We start from the raw sequence: 18070 nt of genomic DNA on the forward strand, positions 1-18070 counted from the left end.
CAAAACATTGAATGATTGCTTAACTATAAACCCTTAGGTGTAGAGTTTACAGAATGTACTGTTTTGCCCTTTCTGGAAAATGGGACATTTGCTCTTGGCCAGTCTTTGTTCTCCTCTTCTTTTCCCTGTGATTTTCCCAAGACTACTAAATTTCAGCAATTCCATTTTGAAAGTCTTAAAGCATTTCAAACATGAAATTTATCCAGGTCAATGGTCTTGAATTCATTTAAAGCCTGTAGGTGTTCTTCAAGTCTTGGACTTCAGTTCCTTCCATTCCTTTTTCATGTGAAGTTTATTTTTCTTGGAGTTGAGGACAATAACTCAGACCACATTTTCTGACCCACATCAATCCAGCAAAATCTAGGTGGTCCCCAACTTCTGTAAGTTTATTTTAAATTCAGTTACTTAGAATTTGCAGTTCAGAAAATATTACCCCAAAGAAACCGTGTTAAAATTGATCTTTATATTTTCATGAAGATGTCTTCAAAATCCTTTTAACCAATAGGGTATCTGAAATAGTACAGTTTTAGTATGAACTCTGAGTTTCTCTGATCCTATTTTATTGAGGCAGGGTCTTGCTCATCACCCAGGCTAGAGTGCAGTGGCGTGATCATGGCTCTCTGCAGCTTCGACTTCCTGTGTTCAAATGATTCTCCCACCTCAGCCTCCTGAGTAGCTGGGAGTAGCTGGGACTCAGGCATGCACCACCACGCTTGGTTAATTTTTTGTAGATGCAGGGTTTTGCCATGTTGCCCAGGCTGGTCTCAAACTCCTGGAGTCAAGCGATTGGCCTGCCTCAGCGTCCCAAAGTGGTGGGATTACAGGCGTGAGCCAGCGCCCCTGGCTCTGATCCCATTTTAGCTCTGTTTTTCTTTTTCTTTCTTTCTTTTTTTTTGGGGACAAAGTCTTGCTCCGTCGCCCAGGCTGGAGTGCAATGGCAAGATCTTGGCTCACTGCAACCTCCGCCTCCTGGGTTCAAGTGATTCTCCTGCCTCAGCCTTCCAAGTAGCTGGGATTACAGGCATGTGCCACCATACCCCGTTAATTTTTTGTATTTCTTTTTTTTTTAGTAGAGATGGGGTTTTTGCCACGTTGGCCAGGCTGGTCTCTAATGCCTGACCTCAGGTGATCCACCCGCCTTGGCCTCCCATAGTGCTGGGATTACAGGCGTTAGCCACCCAGCCCAGCCTTAGCTCTGTTTTTCAATCTGAATCCAAAGACCCTCATATTAGGAAGGGCTGGGAGTTTAGGAGGATTGGCAGTGCTGGGAGAAGTATCAAGTAGCTGGTAGAAGATACATTGGGTTGATACTGGATTTCCTCCCTTGTGGAAGGATTCTGAAGGTCAAGGGTAGGGAGGCACATAACATATTTGGTAGTTTGAAATTTTTATGCTAGTAAATTGTGTATAACTCATGATAATCAAATATCTGTTTGATTTAATAAGGGGGGACTGAATTATAAAGGATGGATTGATAAATCAAGTTACTCTCCACTTTTGGGAGAATAAAGCAAAATGAAGATCCTATTAATTATGGGTCAGATGGTCCCATCTAGAAAGAAAACTAAGTAGGAGTGCTTCATCTCCTTGCTTGTATTCAGCATGGAGAAGTCTTTACAAAAGGGTAATTAATTAGGGTGTTTTTCACAAGGCCGTGCCTTCCATAGAAATGGTTTTCTTCTGTATGTGGATCTTGAGTTTTAAGATGCTTTCCAACCATTTGAACTCTCTTATTATAACAGAAGTTTAGTCATGTACCAAATGTATTCCTATGCAATTTTCAGTGACAAAATGGTTCTCTCATTTGGATGTGTAAAAACAATGCCAGGAACAAAAACAAAACTCATGATTCAACTGATTTTGTACTCTCTTTGGGAAGAAGAAAAGACCCGTTGAGATGAAGATTATAATTTCAGTAACAAAGAAAACATTCAAGGCCCAGGCAGCTCTTAAATTCAATACTAATAATCTATGAAATAAATTATAAGCCTACGTTTCTGTCAGTTCTTTAGATACCTGCTTGTTTGCTAATACAGAAACATTGCTTAATTTTACATGTATTTTCTTAGTGTGAGTCAAATCCAACCTAAAATGCATTTGGTTATTTGTTTACACAGTTAGTGACTGGTAATCAAAAACGCAAACAATTTTTGAGGGAGTTAGAATCTTCACTTTAGTAGGTACCTTAGAGGGCATCTAGTTTAGTACAGGATTCCTTTCTACCAGGGACAAACTGTTTACAGAGGCCCCTTCCTGCCTCTTGCGAGGTTCCTCCTTGTCTGTTCTGCTTCAGATATACAGGCCTTCTGTGTTCCTTGAATTTATCAAACTCTCTAAGACTCTTTGTACTGCCTTGAACACTCTTCTCATAGCCCTGGTGGCTTGGAATTTTTACATGGGACAGATTTCTCTGAAATACTGCCTTCTCAGACAACCTTCCCCAGATCTCCTACCTAAAGGACCTCTCCCCTTCCCAACTGCCATAACTCTATCATAAGACTCTGTTTTATTTCCTTATAATACTTGTCACTGTCTGAAATTATCATATTTATTGTCTATCTCCTTTAGCTCCATGAGAGCAGGAGCATGGTCCATGTTGTTCACCGCTATATCCTGAAGTATCTACAATAGTGGCTGTCCCATTGTAGGCATCTGACAAGTATGACAAAAATGAGAATGAATGAATAACCATTGATGATTGATCATTTTGTTAATGTTAAAACCAAACTCTGTAAAATATTTTAAAGAGGTTTATTCTGAGCTAATGTGAGTGACCATGGTCTGGGGAACAGTCTCAAGAGCCCTGACAAAATATGTCCTAGGCTATCAGATTGCAGTCTGCTTTTATATGTTTTAGGGAGAGAATTGTAGGTAAAATCATCAGTCAGTACTTGGAGGATGATGTACATTGGTTCAGCCAAGGTAGTGGGGGATCATAGGTGGATTAAAGGATTTTCTGATTCGCAGTTGGTTGAAAGAGTTAAGCTTTTTCTAAAGACTTGAAGTCAGTAGAAAGAAATGGTAAAGTTAAGATAAGGGGGTTGTGGAGGCCAAGGTTCTTGTTATGTAGTAAAGCCTCATAGGTAGCAGCTTTCAGGGAGAATAGATGGTAAATGTCTCTTTTCAGACCTTAAAGGTGTCAGGCTCTCAGTTAATGTCTCCTAGGTTGGGGGAAAGGCCCAGAAAGGGAAGGCTTGGCTGCACTATGGAGATTCTGTTGGCCCCGTGACAGTTATTTTAAAATATGTCAAAGAAATATATTTTGGGGTAAAATATTTTGATTGCCTTCAGGGTCTGCTATTTGTCATGTGATGCTATAACACAGTCAGATTGGAAAGTAAGCCACATTATACTTTATACTAGGTTAATCATCTCTGATGAGGCTTTATGGTTTGTAGGGCGTGACTTAACCCCTGCTTTGCCTGACCTTAGGTGTTGTTTATAATTTGTTATCTTATTGCCACAGTGTCTGGTTTGCCAGTCTTAGGATCGCCATCCAAAAAGAGGGAGTATAACGAGGTATGTCTGACCTCTCTTCCTGGCTGGGAATTCAGTTTTTCAGGTTTCTCTGGGGTGCCCTTGGCCAAGAAGGAGTTTGTTCAGTCAGCTGGGGGGTTTAGGATTTTTTTTTTTTTCTTTTTGAGATGGAGTCTTGCTCTGTTTTCCAGGCTGGAGTGCAGTGGCGCTATCTCGGCTTACTGTAACCTCTGCCTCCTGGGTTCAAGCAATTCTCCTGCCTCAGCCTCCCGAGTAGCTGGGATTGCAGACATACGCCACCACCCCCGGCTAATTTAGGATTTTATTTTTGGTTTACATGTTCCAATCACTACTGAGCTGAAATTTGTCTCCTTTTTGCTTCTACTACTGAACTTAGTTCTGTCCCCTGGAATAAATCACTGGCTCGATTCCATTTTTTCCAAAGTCTTCAGACATTTGGATGTCAGTCATCTCTCACTGAGGCCAAACTCACCTGGTTTCCTTACCAGTTCCTCATCTGGCATGGTTTTAGGTGAGTGGTCACTATCCAGGTTATCAGTTGTTGGCAATTTTTGGTTTTGTTGTTGTGATACCCAGCACTAAACATAGTGCATTATGTGGTGTCTTGAACTTCCGAGAGAGAGAACAGTTAAACTTTCTTGTTTAATGTGATACTGCAATGCTTTGTCTTTGATAAAAATTATTTTTTAATACCATATAAATGACGAAGGAACTATTTATATATGAAATCATTATCAGAAATATTCTGAGGTCTTAAAAGCTTGTTTTATAATGGAATATAACAACGTAGAAATACATTAAACATAAGTATATACTCTAATGAACAATTATAAGTGAATGTCTATTTAACCATCACTCAAGACATAGAAATAGTGCCCCAGGAACCCCTCCTGTGTTGTGTTGTGTTGTGTTGTCTTGTCTAGCCTTTCCCTTTCCCTTTCTCTTTCCCTTTCTTCCTTCCTTTCTTTCCTTTCTTTCTCTGTCACCCCGGCAGTGCACAGTGCACAGTGCACAATCACGGCTCACCGCAGCTGTGATCACCTAGGCTCAAGGAATCCTCCCACTTCAGCCTCCCAAGTAGCTGGGACTAGAGGTGTTCGCCACCAACGCCCAGCTAATTAAAAAAAAAAAAAAAAAGTTGTTGTAGAGACAAGGTCTCATTATGTTGCCCAGGCTGGTCTCAAACTCCTGGGTTTAAGTGATCCTTCCGCCTCAGCCTTCCAAAGTGCCGCCTCAGCCTTCCAAAATGCCGGGCTGCCATATGTCTTTTCTCAATCTCAGTCCCTCCTTAGAGGTAATTAATATCCTGATTTTTTTACAATAAACACTTCCTTGATCACTTTTTTATACAGTTACCACTTACATGTACATACTTAATATAGTTTATAGTTCAGCTTTGCCTGTTTTTAAACTGTATATAAAAGAAACAATGCTGTTGTATCAGTTTTCTGTTGCATAATAACTTACCACATGCTTAGCCATGTTAAGACACCATATATTATTAGCTCACAGTTCTGTAGGTTCCCAGCCTGATCTTTTTATTACTTGTGTTTTCTGTTTCATGAATTTTTGCTCTTACTCATTTCTTTCTTCACATTTTCATTGGGCTCATTTTGTGTTTCTTTTGTTTAGCCTCTTGAGTTTGATGCTTAGTTCATGTTTCCAGTTTTTAGTATTTTCTGATATATGCATATAAGATTCTCAATTTCCTCCTTAAGCATTGTTTTCTTTCTATAGATTTGTATTTTTGTTATTGTTAAGTGTATTATGTTTTCTTCCTTGATTGACATATGGATTATTTTGGGAGTGTATTTATTTCCAAACATAAGAATTATTTTCTAACTACTTCTTTTGTGATTGATCAACTTTAGTTGTGGAAAGAGACCATCCTTTTACTTCAGTCCTTGTAATTTATTTTATTTATTTATTTATTTTTGAGATGGAGTTTTGCTCTGTTGCTCAGGCTGGAGTGCAGTGGCGCCATTTGGCTCACTGCATCCTCTGTGATTCTCGTGCCTCAGCCTCCTGAGTAGCTGGGACTACAGGCACGTGGTCATCACACCTGGCTAAGTTTTGTGTTTTTAGTAGAGACAGGATTTCACCATGTTAACCAGGCTGGTCTCGAACTCCTGGCCTCAAGTAATCTGCCTACCTCAGCCTCCCAAAATACTGGGATTACAGGCCCGAGCCACTGTGCCCGGCCCTTGTAATTTATTTTGAATTGCTTTATGGCCTAGCATATGATCAGTTTTTGTGAATGTTGTATGTGTGCTTGGAGAGGAGAAAAAGATATTTTGCAGTTCTTTGCTATAGTTGATATGTTCATTTGGTCAAATTTTAAAAACATGTTCAATGTCTTCTTTATCCTAATATTTTTCTCTTTCATTTAGTTCTCTTTTTTTGTTATGCTCTCTATCTAGCATTCTAATTTATTTTTATAGTTTGATCTTTCACCTTTTGGACCTTTTAGTTCTGTCACAATGTTCAGTCTTTGTTTTTTTTTTTTTTTTTGAGATGGAGTCTCGCTCTGTCGCCGAGGCTAGAGTGCAGTGGCTCGATCTCGGCTCACTGTAAGCTCCGCCTCCCGGGTTCATGCCATTCTCCTGCCTCAGCCTCCCGAGTAGCTGGGACTACAGGCGCCCACCACAATGCCCGGCTAATTTTTTTGTATTTTTTCAGTAGAGACAGGGTTTCACCATGTTAACCAGGATGGTCTGGATCTCCTGACCTCGTGATCCACCCGCCTCGGCCTCGGCCTCCTAAAGTGCTGGGATTACAGGCGTGAGCCACTGCACCCGGCCAGTCTGGTTTTTATTGCATCAACCCTACCGTTGTTTTGTAGGCTATTGCTGATCATTTATAGGCTATCCCTGACCCAAAGTCTTTTGGGATCATTTTCTTTTTCAGTTGTTTCTATTGGTTCTTGTTCGTGGTATCTTACCTTGCGTGTTTGGCCATCTTTGATTATGTACTGCACATTGTAAATGAGAAACTATCTGTAGCAGTATTGTGAGGCCTGGTTGATGCCATCTTCCCTCAGAGCGTTGCTTTTTTTCTTTGTTTCACCCAGACAACTGGTGGCTTTAACAATCTGAATGTGGAACCACCTTAATCCAAAGTACATTTAAAGATTTTATCTAGATCGCCCAGATGACATAAACCTACAGTTCAAGTTTGTCCAAGGGCTGATTTATTTCTGTTTTTTCTTATCCTGGGAGTATATTCTGGGGTTTTGGCTTCAAGTGAGTGGTGATTTATCAAACTTTCTCCTTATTTATAAAAATTTTATTTTTAATGATTATAGCTACTTAATAGTTGTATATATTTATGGGATACATGTTATATTTTGATACAAGCATACAATATGTAATGATCAGGGTAATTGGGGTATCCATCATTTCAAGCATTTATCATTTCTTTGTGTTAGGAACCTCCCAATTCCACTCTTTTAGTTATTTTGAAATATACAATAAATTATTGCTAACAAACTTTCTCATTTTGAGACACCCTTGACTTTGAATTTTGTGTTCCTTGATCTCTAACGATTTCAAGAGCAAACCTGTTTTTCTCTCATTTTCTGGATCTTCAAATACCAGAAAAGCTAAAATAGTTTTGGGTGGTTTGGATTATCTCTCTGGATTCTATTCTTTTGCTTTGATTGCTTTGATTTTAGCCAGGTAATTCTTCACAATCTTGTTAAGTGTTTGGAGCTTTTAAGATGTTTCTGAAAAGTATTCCCTCTAGCATTTGTATTTGTCTGTAAAGGGACATTTCATCCAAGATATGTAGTTTGCCATCACCAGAACTAAAACGTTTTAGTTTTTATGCCTTAAAAAAAAAGATTAATCAGTTATATTCATATAAAATTGCAGCTAAATCCAATATGGCATAATTTTTTTCTTCAGTATGAATACTGGTATTTAAAAGACCATTCTTGACATCCAAGATAAGTATCCACTCACATCATTATTATTTTTTTTATTTGTTTTGAGACCGACTCTCCTTCTGTTGCCCAGGCTGGAGTGCAGTGACGTGATCTTGGCTCACTGCAACCATCACCTCCCAAGCTCAAAAAATTCTCGTGCCTTAGCCTCCTGTGTAGCTGGGACTACAGGCACCCACCATCACACCCGGCTAATTTTTTGGTATTTTATCTGGAGATGGGGTTTCACCATGTTGGCCAGGTTGGTCTCCAACTCCTGACCTTAAGCAGTCTGCCTGCCTCAGCCTCCCAAAGTGCTAGGATTACAGACGTGAGCCACTGTAGCCGGCCCCACTCACATTCTGATTCCCAGTTTTTTTGTTTGTTTGTTTTTGTTTTTGAGACGGAGTTTTCACTCTTGTCATCCAGGCTTAAGTACAATGGCAATATCTCAGCTCACTGCAACTTCTGCCTCCCGGGTTCAAGTGATTTTCGTGTCTCAGTCTCCCGAGTAGCTGGGATTACAGGTGCCTGCCACCGCACCTGGCTAATTTTTGTATTTTTAGTAGAGACGGGGTTGTACCATGTTGGCCAGGCTGGTCTCGAGCTCCTGACCTCAGGTTATTCACCCTCCTCAGCCTCCCAAAGTGCTGGGATTACAGGCATGAGCCATCTCACCTGGCCTAATTCCCAGTTTTTATTACTCAGTTTTGACTGCCACAAAGAATAGTGAGACCAAATGTTTTTTTTAAAAAATTTTTATTTTTTTTTATTTTTTTGAGACAGTCTCGCTCTGTCGCCCAGGCTGGAGTGCAGTAGTAAGATCTCGGTTTACTGCAACCTCTGCCTTCCGGGTTCAAGCAATTCTCCTGTCTCAGCCTCTCGAGTAGCTGGCACTACAGGCGCGCACCACCATACCCAGCTAATTTTTGTATTTTTAGTAGAGATCGGGTTTCATCATATTGGTCATGCTGGTCTCGAACTCCTGACCTCAGGTCATCTACCTGCCTTGGCCTCCCAAAGTGCTGGGATTACAGGCGTGAGCCACCACGCCCGGCCACAAATGTTCTTTACAAATACTTTTATACAGAACTTTTTGGGTCTTCTTAGTGAGAATGATTAATTTTTATCTCAAGTTTCCTTTGAAATGAACCATACCATTATTGGCAGAGAGTAGAATATTTAAATATTTCCTGAGTGTTCTTTCAAACCAGCCGTAGAAAATGAAAGAGTGATTCGTTTTCAGAAATGCTCTGAGCATCTTTTACCAGGAATGTGACTGACATAGATCCTCATATAGCTGGCTCCTTGTCATTGCCATCTCAGCTCAAATGTTACCTTTTTAGAGAAGCCCTCCCTGTCTATCATTCTTTTTCCCTCTTTCATAACAAAATACAAGATAATAGTCTCGTATTTTTTCTCCACCAGCAAAATGTAAAGTTCCATGAGGGTAAGGACCTTGCCTGTCTTGTTTACCACTATGTTGTGTGTCTTATCCTGAAAACATGGGAGGCAGTCAGTAATTATTTGCTTAATGAATTAATAAATATTTCATCTCAAATTGTGACATCTTTTTCTCTAAATATCAGAATAATCCTTAAAAAATTTTTGATTCCAGTGAACTAAAGTTTTCTAAGCTAAGTATAGCGAAAGGAGGTCAGTGTAGCTGGAGTGAAGCTAGTCAAGGGAGAGTCTAGTAGGAGATGATATCAGGAGGGGAGGTCAAGGCCTGTGGCTCATGTGGATTTTGCTTTTCACTCTTAATGATATGGGAGGCCATTAGAGGGTTTTGAATGAGAAGTTTATGAGAAGTGACATGGTCTGAGTTATCTTCAAGAGTTACTCTGACTTCTTTAAGGTCTGTAGGAATCTGTAGGGATACTGAAGTATGGTCTATTCTGGGCTCTCACATCTGTTCTATTGGTTATTTATCCGTGCCAGAACCACCCTGTCTTAATTTCCCTCACTCTATTATAATCCTCAACCTATTCAGTAGGGCATCCTGCCAGATCCTACCCTCAAAGCCTAGTGCTCTTGTAACTTTTCTTATCTTTCTTACTCTTTTCTTTTTCTTATTCTTTGCTGCTCATACTTGTAGTAGGAGGGTGTTGCTTCTACTTGGAACTCTGCCCTTCCATATATATTTTAAAATCAGCTTGTCTTAATTCTTTAGAAAACCTTGTTGGGATTGTGATTGGAATTGCATTGACTATATAGATCAATATGGAAAGAATTGATACCTTTATAGTTTTGAATCTTCCTAGCTGTAAAATTTGGATAACTTATTTACGTGTTTTTTAATGTCTTGAGTAAAGTTACATATATATTTGAAAAGTCGTTTTGAATATCTTTTGTTAAATCTTAGGTGCTTTTTAAAATTATTGTAAATGTGGTTTGTTTTTGTTTTTCTTTGAGACAAGGTCTGGCTCTATTGTCCAGGCTAGAGTGCAATGGCACAATCTTGGCTTACTGCAGCCTCCGCTTCCCGGGCTCAAACCATCCTCCCATCTCAGCCTCTGGAGTAGCTGGGACTACAGGCATGCTCTGCCACATGCAGCTAATTTTTATATATTTTGTTGAGGCTGGATTTTGCCATGTTGCCCAGTCTGGTCTCGAACTCGTGAGCTCAAGCAGTCTGCTTGCCTCAGCCTCCCAAAGTGCTGTGATTATAGGCGTGAGCCATTGTGCCCCGCCCATAAATGTGATTTTTAAAAATTGCATTTTCTATTTCTTACAAATGCTCTTTACAGATGCTGCTGATATTTGTGTATTAAGCTTATGTTCAGCTACCTTGCCAAACACTAATAATTCCAATAATTTATGAATTCTTTTGAATTTTCTATGAGGTAATATATGCAAATTCTGTTTTCGTTTCCCTCTTTTCAATCATACATTTTATTCATTTATTGTTTCTTATTTTACTAAGCCAGCTATAACCCACAAGGATGTTTTTGTTTTGTTTTTGTTTTTGAGACAGGGTCTTGCGGTGTTGCCCAGGCTGGAGTGCAGTGGTGCGATCACGGCTCACCGCAGCTTCGCCCTCCTGGGCTCAAGCAATCCTCCCTCCTCACCATCTGAGAGTAGCTGGGACTACAGGCGTGCACAACCACACCCGGCTAGTTTTTGTAGTTTTTCTAGAGAAAGGGTTTCACCACATTTCCTAGGCTGGTCTTGAATTCCTGAGCATGAGTGATCCGTCCACCTCAGCCTCCCAGCAGCCTCCCAAAGTGCTGGGATTATGGACACGAGCCACTGTGCCTGGCTAGGATGTTTAATACTAATGTTAATAAGTATTAATAGTAGAACTCCTTGTCATGTTTTTGTTTGTTTGGTGGAGACAGGGTCTCACACTGTTGCCCAGGCTAGTGTCCGGTGGCGCAATCACAGCTCACTGCAGCTTTGACCTCCTGGGCTCAAGTGATCCTCCCGTCTCAGCCTCCCACAACCATGCCCACCAGGCTAGGTTTTTTTTGTTTTTGTTTGTTTTTTTTGTTTTTGTAGAGACTGGGTCTCCCTGTGTTGCTCAGGCTGGTCTCTAATTCCTGGGCTCAAGCGATCCTTCTGCCTTGGCTTCCTAAAGTGCTGGGATTATATGCGTGAACCATGGTGCCTGGGCACATGTTCTTAAGTTTTAAAGGGACTATGTCTACTGCTTCACATTTAAGAATGATGTTTGTTGTAGGTTTTTGTCAGATGCCCTTATCAGGATATGCACATTTTAAAATCACCTAATTATGTATATATTGCTTTTTAGAAAATTTGCACCAATTTACATTTCTACCATCAGTGTATGGAAGGGCACTCCTTGACAATACTTACCCACATCACATGGGGTATTCTTGTTAAAAGTTTCAGATTTTGGCCGGGCGCGGTGGCTCACGCCTGTAATCCCAGCACTTTGGGAGGCCGAGACGGGCGGATCACGAGGTCAGGAGAGCGAGACCATCCTGGCTAACACGGTGAAACCCCGTCTCTACTAAAAAAAATACAAAAATTAGCCGGGCATGGTGGCGCGTGCCTGTAGTCCCAGCTACACGGGAGGCTGAGGCAGGAGAATGGTGTGAACCCGGGAGGCGGAGCTTGCAGTGAGTCGAGATCGCGCCACTGCACTCCAGCCTGGGCGACAGAGCGAAACTCCGTCTCAAAAAAAAAAAAAAAAAGAAAGTTTCAGATTTTATAGGCAGTAAGGAACTTCTTGTTTAGATTTGTTTCTTCCTTTTAAAACAATATTTTGTGTTGTTACCACTGTTATTCTTAGAGATGGGATAAGCTTTTTGAAACAAAGCTTATTTTGAAAATATTTCAGATTTAGAGAAAAACTGCAAAAATAGTGCAAAGAATTTCCTACTTCCTATACCCTTGACCTAGATTTTCCAAGTGTGTTAATATTTTATCATATTTGCTTTATCATTCTTTCTGTCTTTTTTCTCTTCCCTCATACACACATATAATTTTTCTCAGTGGTTTAAGTTGTAAACATGATGCCCCTTTAAAAACTTTAGTGCTGTTTCTTAAAAATGAGAGCATTGTTTTATATAACCGAAGTACTAATATGAAAATTAGAAAACTACTGACAACAGTACTATAATCTGTGAACATTTGAATTGTATCAATTGTTCTTCATAGCGAAAAAAGAACAAAAGCTTTTTCTTGTCCAGGATGTAATCCAGGATCATGCAATGTATTTCATTGTCATATCTCTTAATCTTCTTTAATCTGGAATAGTCGCTTCTTGTTACTCAGTTGTTTCTTGTCTTTCATGACCTTGACATTTTAAAAGAATATGGGCCAATTATTTAGTAAAATGTCCCTCAGCTTGGGCTTGTCTCTTGCTTCTTGTGATTAGATTCAGGTTTTGCATTTCTGGCAGGAATGCCACAGAAGTGGTGATGTGATACATCCTATCAGGGGGCATATAATGTTGGTTTGTCCCCTTATTGATGACGTTAACTTGATCATTTAATTAAGGTGGTGTCTGGCAGGATTCTTCAGTGTAAAATTACTATTTTTCTTCTTGTAATTAATAGGTATCTTGTGGATACTTTGAGATTAGATAATATCCTGTTTTCCATCAAATTTTCAACCACTAGTTTTAGCATGTATTGATCATACTTGCTTGAAATAATTATTACCAGAGTGATTGCCAAATGGCGATCTTCTAATTTTATCACTACATTTATTATTTGGAATTATACTTCGCAAAAGAGCTTTCTCTTCTCCCCCATTTATTTATTTATGTCAGTAAGGACTTTTAAAAAAATTATATGGGTTATAATCTGTTACTGTGCTTATTTACTTTGTTGCTCAAATATTCCCGATTAGGCCAGTGGGAGTCACATCAGTCTGACTCCTGTGTCCTTTTGAGGTACCCCTATCATTCTTTGAGCATTTCCTTACTTTCTGGCACCACAAAAATATGCCCTAGGCTCCTATGGTCCTTCTCCTGCCCCACCCTTGGAATCAGCCATTTCTTCAAGGAACCCTAGTTCCTTTTATCAGAGCACCAGCTGTGTTCATAGCTATAGGGGTATCATTGCTTCTAGGCCTTCTCAGCAGACAGAGCTAGGAAATATATGTATGTGAGTGCACATTTACACAAACACCTTTATATCTGTCTATACTCCTATATATTAAAAACTGAGCTTATATTGTTAACTCCAACTCCAAGCCTTCTCCCTTTTTATATTTGTTACTCCCTTTTATGAGAATAAGAAACCAAGGTCAGTATATTCACAGAATATTTACCTATTTGCCCAATCTTAGAACACACACAAACAAGTTTCATGTCATTGTATAAAAGCAGGTAGCTAAGTAGAATATAGTATTTGTTTATAATTCTTTTTATTTTTAGCTTTAGGAGAGTAGATAGTGAAAATGCTGTTTTTAAAAGTTAGCTGTGGTTAATTCATTTGTCCTTGTCCCCAAAAGTGTGGTTATATTATTCATTTCAAATACAGAGAGGTTCATTTGTTTGTATTCATTCCATTTTGGGTTCTTCGCTCCTATTACTGTTGGTTTCTTCTTCATTTTAAGTGTATAAAACATTAAAATGGATTGAAAAATAACTCTACAAAAAGGTAAGATTGGTTACTAGAGTACTGCAAATATAAAACTTACAGCTTTTAATTGTGTTTGTTTTTTTCAGGGAGTCATTTAATACTTCATGATTAGAACAAATATGTGAAAGTTCCCACCAACCAGTGAGAATTTCTTCCTTCAGACGGTTTTGGATCTTACTGCACAGCTTTCTGAGAAGTTCTTTTGGTGCCATGTTTTGTGGCTTGCATCAAAAGAGGAGTTTGTCTTCATGAAGATTCCTAACATTGGTAATGTGATGAATAAATTTGAGATCCTTGGGGTTGTAGGTGAAGGTAAGTTGGAATTTTTGCGTTCCTTGAGTTTTGAGCAATGAACAGTTAGTTATTCCTACCACCAAAAAGTTACTAATTAGATCCTGTTAATTTAACCTATATCAATTCACATGTGTGTCTAAGAGTAAAATATTAAAAATAAAATTACTCTTAAACAATTTGGGTCTCACTCTCCAATAAAAAATTAATAACTTTTTAAAACCCTTTAAAGTTTAATAAATCAAAGATTTTTTTCCCTTTTCTTTTAAAAAGAGCCCCAGTGTTACAACAGTCTTTGCCTTCATTCTTTTTTTTTTTTTTTTTTTAGCAATCATGAGTTCCTTAGTCTGCATTTTTTTTCTTGGTTCCATTTTATTTTTATATCAGCTAGGCTTATTTTGAATAACTTAAATTTCATTCATTCATTCATTCATTCATTCATTCATTCATTCAAGACAGAGTCTCACTGTTACCCAGACTGGAGTGCAGTGGCATGATCTCGGCTCACTGCAGCCTCTGCCTCCTGGGTTCAAGCGATTCTCCTGCCTCAGCCTCCTGAGATTACAGGCGTGAGCCACTGTGCCCAGCTAATTTTTGTATTTTCAGTAGAGACTGGGTTTCACCATGTTGGTGAAATTTTACTTAATACCTGGTAAATAAACAAATAAGTAAATTCTGTTTCTTTGAAAATGGGAGACTATGTTTTGTAAATTCTGAGGCATACAATTTTATCTCTGAAATCAGGGTGTATCTTATAATCAGTATCATGTCACAGTTTAATTGGCAGCATTCTCCCTTTCCTAATAGTACATAAAATAATGCTCATGACCAATGATATACCATTGATTTGATGAAATATGATGTCATTTTGTATAAACTGACTCCTAAAAAAAAATCATTTCTTCTGATTTTTCCTGCTTAGTGATTTTTGCTCTAGACTTAAAGATAACTTTGGAAATTTTGATAAATGATTCTGTTAACAGAAGATAAGTGATTATAATTATGGTTTCTTAGCATTTATATCTTTAAAGCATATGTTACAAAAATTTCATATTTCAGAATTTTCAAATAAACTCTGAATTCCTAAAGGACTAAAAAAGTTCACCTATGTGAACAGCAAAGCTGTTATTAAGTTTTAAAGTTGGCAAATCCTTTCAAATACATAGAAACAATTAAAATAAAGAGTTTAATCATTGGATGCTTGTTTCAAGGTCTGAAATTCAAACCATACAAAACAAATAGGTCTTTGTTCCTTCACTAGTCAACTCCTCTTCCATTTCTTCATCGATGTTATGTAAAAATTTCATTTTCAGTGTCTTGCTTACCATCTGTTCTGGAATAGCCTATTTTATTTTTCAAAAGTATTAGAATTAGAGACCAATGCAATAAAGCTGCTGACTGGAGAAGGCTAGCACATACGGTGTAACAAGGTTAGAATGCTCCAGATTCTGGGCCTAAGTTTTTCTGGATCATAACTAGTTTTTCTCATTATAGCCATAGGTGATCATCTTCTTTGGGATTGGCTCAAAATTACCAGACTGTTATATATATATATATATATCAGAATATGTTACTTTGTTATCAGAACTACCATTGCTGTATGTTTCTTTCTTTGGAAAGCACCTCACATGTATTTTTGGCTAGGATATACATATAAAGTATATAACAATCTGTCACCAGGAACGGTGACTCATGCCTATAATCCCAGCACTTTGGGAGGCTGAGGTGGTGGATCACAAGGTCAAGAGATCCAGACCATCTTGGCCAACATGGTGAAACCCTGTCTCTACTAAAAATACAAAAATTAGCTGGGTGTGGTGGCGGGCGCCTGTAGTCCCAGCTACTCAGGAGGCTGAGGCAGGAGAATCGCTTGAACCTAGGAGGTGGAGGTTGCAGTGAGTGAGCTTGTGCCACTGCACTCCAGCCTGATGAGAGAGCGAGACTGTCTCAAAACACACACACACACACACACACACACACACACACACAGGTTGCAGTGAGTGAGCTTGTGCCACTGCACTCCAGCCTGATGAGAGAGCGAGACTGTCTCAAAACACGCACACACACACACACACACACACACACACACACACACACACACACACACCCCTGTCAAGCAAACTCTGCATTCTTGTAGTTTAGACAGTGTATTTTTTACCCCATAGAATAACTGGCATAGGCAGTTAGAATTGGACAATTGCCTGGCAATTGTGGAGTTAAGTTAGATGGTTATAATGGCTGGTTCTATGCTAACTGTGATAATAGGATTCATCCATCTCTACCAAAGTGAGGGAGACTTGTTCAGGTCCCATAGACTGTGTTGGAGACACATTTCCCAATTTTGTATCCGTGAAGCCCCCTTCTCATAGATGAATGCAGGCTTGCCAGTCTGCTAATGTTAATGTTCTTGATGTTTCTGCAAAGCTCAGCTATCATTCATTACATTTTGATTCTCTTAATTAGATTTTTCACATTATAATTTTAACCTCAGTTTCCTGAGTACTTTGCTGTCAACTCTGTCCTACTTCTAAGGAAGAAGTCTATTGCCTAGATAATAGGATAAGTAACCCCAAAGGTAGTTACTTGTTGAAATACACCAAAGACAGTGGGAGTGCTTGTCGCCTTTGTGCATGAACTGAGTCTTTATTTATGGCAAAAGGTAGCAAATCCTACTAGCTATTAATTGGAATACTGAGGCCTGGACTACTTTGCCAGTCAGGAGAGACATTCAGCTGGGTGTGGTGGTGCATGCCTATAATCCCAGCACTTTGGGAGGCTGAGGTGGGAGGATTGCTTGAGGCCAGGAGTTTGAGACCAGCCTGGGCAACATAGTGAGACCATGTCTCTACAAAAAAAACTTAAAAAACAAAACAAAACAGAAAAAAAAAAAAAAAGAGGGGCATTTCAGTATCCTAGAGGAAGATTTTAATGTCTTCTAGAACAGATAATGTATTTGGTGGGCTCTGTGCTTGAGCTTACTACTGGGATGTCATTAGCTCTTAAGGTTTTTTTGTTTGTTTGTTTGTTTGTTTTCGAGATGGAGTCTTGCTCTGTTGCCCAGGCTGGAGTGCAGTGGCGCGATCTGGACTACTGCAACCTCTGCCTCCTGGGTTCAAACGATTCTCCTGCCTCAGCCTCCTGAGTAGCTGGGATTACAGGCACCTGCAACTATACCCAACTAATTTTTGTATTTTTAGTAGAGATGGGTTTTTGCCATGTTGGCCAGGCTGGTCCTGAACTCCTGACCTCAGGTGATCTGCCAGCCTCGGCCTCCCAAAGTGCTGGGATTATAGGCGTGAGCCACTGTGCCTGGCCTAGCTCTTAAGTTTTAAGTTCCACAGAATCTTCTGAGTTAATTTTCCTTTATTCTCAAAGTTCTTGAGACCAAATCTTGTCTCCATAAATGTGTAACCCTACATTTAAACGTATCGCCAGTGAAATTTTCTTTAAAAAGAAACATTTAAAAATACTTGTTGGAAGAAATGACTTGTCTATACTCTTGATTTATAATAAATGTATAATAAAGTATGTTCCATTTGTATGTGGCTCATTATTGCATTATCACTATAGAATCTTGTCACTTTAGTAGTCATTATTATAACACTGAGAAGCAATGTCAGTATAGCAGAGCTTTGTAGTTTGTATGCGTGCCCTTGATTGTTTACTTCTTTTTATTATAGGAGCCTATGGAGTTGTACTTAAATGCAGACACAAGGCAAGTACATTATTTTTAAAAAGAAATATCTGTATATGTTTAACTGTTTTGAAACTAATGTAGTGGTCTTTGCGTGTGGGCATGTACAGGTTGAGCATTCCTTATCTGAAATGCTTGAGACCAGAAATGTTTTGGATTTTTTTGGATTTTGGAATATTTCCATATATGTAATGAGATACCTTGGGGATGGGACCCAAGGCTAGACACAAAATTCATTTATGTTTCATATATACTTAATACATATAGCTTGAAGGTAATTTTATGCAATATTTTAAGTTTTTGCCTAAAACAAAGTTTAAATACTTATATGTGGAATTTTCCACTTGTGGCATCATATCAGTACTCAAAGTTTTGGATTTTGGAGCATTTTGGATTTTTGAATTAGGGATGCTCAACCTGTAATTAAAACTCTGGTTATGAGGATGTTGTTTAATGAAGTGGAATTAATATGTGAATGCTGCCAGAAAGAGACTACTTTTAGATAAGCTTGATCATGGTTGGGTAGTCCTTAGTTCTTAGCAATCACGTGCTATTTTTTTTTTTCAACTGACCTATGCCGTGCACCTCATAATGACATTTAGATCA

General features: G+C 38.9%; 1 protein-coding gene across 3 annotated transcripts in view; it reads left to right on the plus strand.

Moving 5' to 3' along the window:
- The window catches only part of CDKL5 (cyclin dependent kinase like 5), a 228022-nt gene that overhangs the window by 67762 nt on the left and 142190 nt on the right, over nt 1–18070 (plus strand). For all 3 annotated transcript variants that reach the window (NM_003159.3, NM_001323289.2, NM_001037343.2), the window contains 2 exons: nt 13566–13791; nt 17451–17485. In NM_003159.3, coding sequence (NP_003150.1) covers nt 13728–13791; nt 17451–17485 — 99 coding nt within the window. In that variant the 5' untranslated portion in view covers nt 13566–13727. The remainder of the gene's footprint in view (nt 1–13565; nt 13792–17450; nt 17486–18070) is intronic.

This window comes from Homo sapiens, chromosome X (assembly GCF_000001405.40).
Source record: "Homo sapiens chromosome X, GRCh38.p14 Primary Assembly".
NCBI lineage: Eukaryota > Metazoa > Chordata > Mammalia > Primates > Hominidae > Homo > Homo sapiens.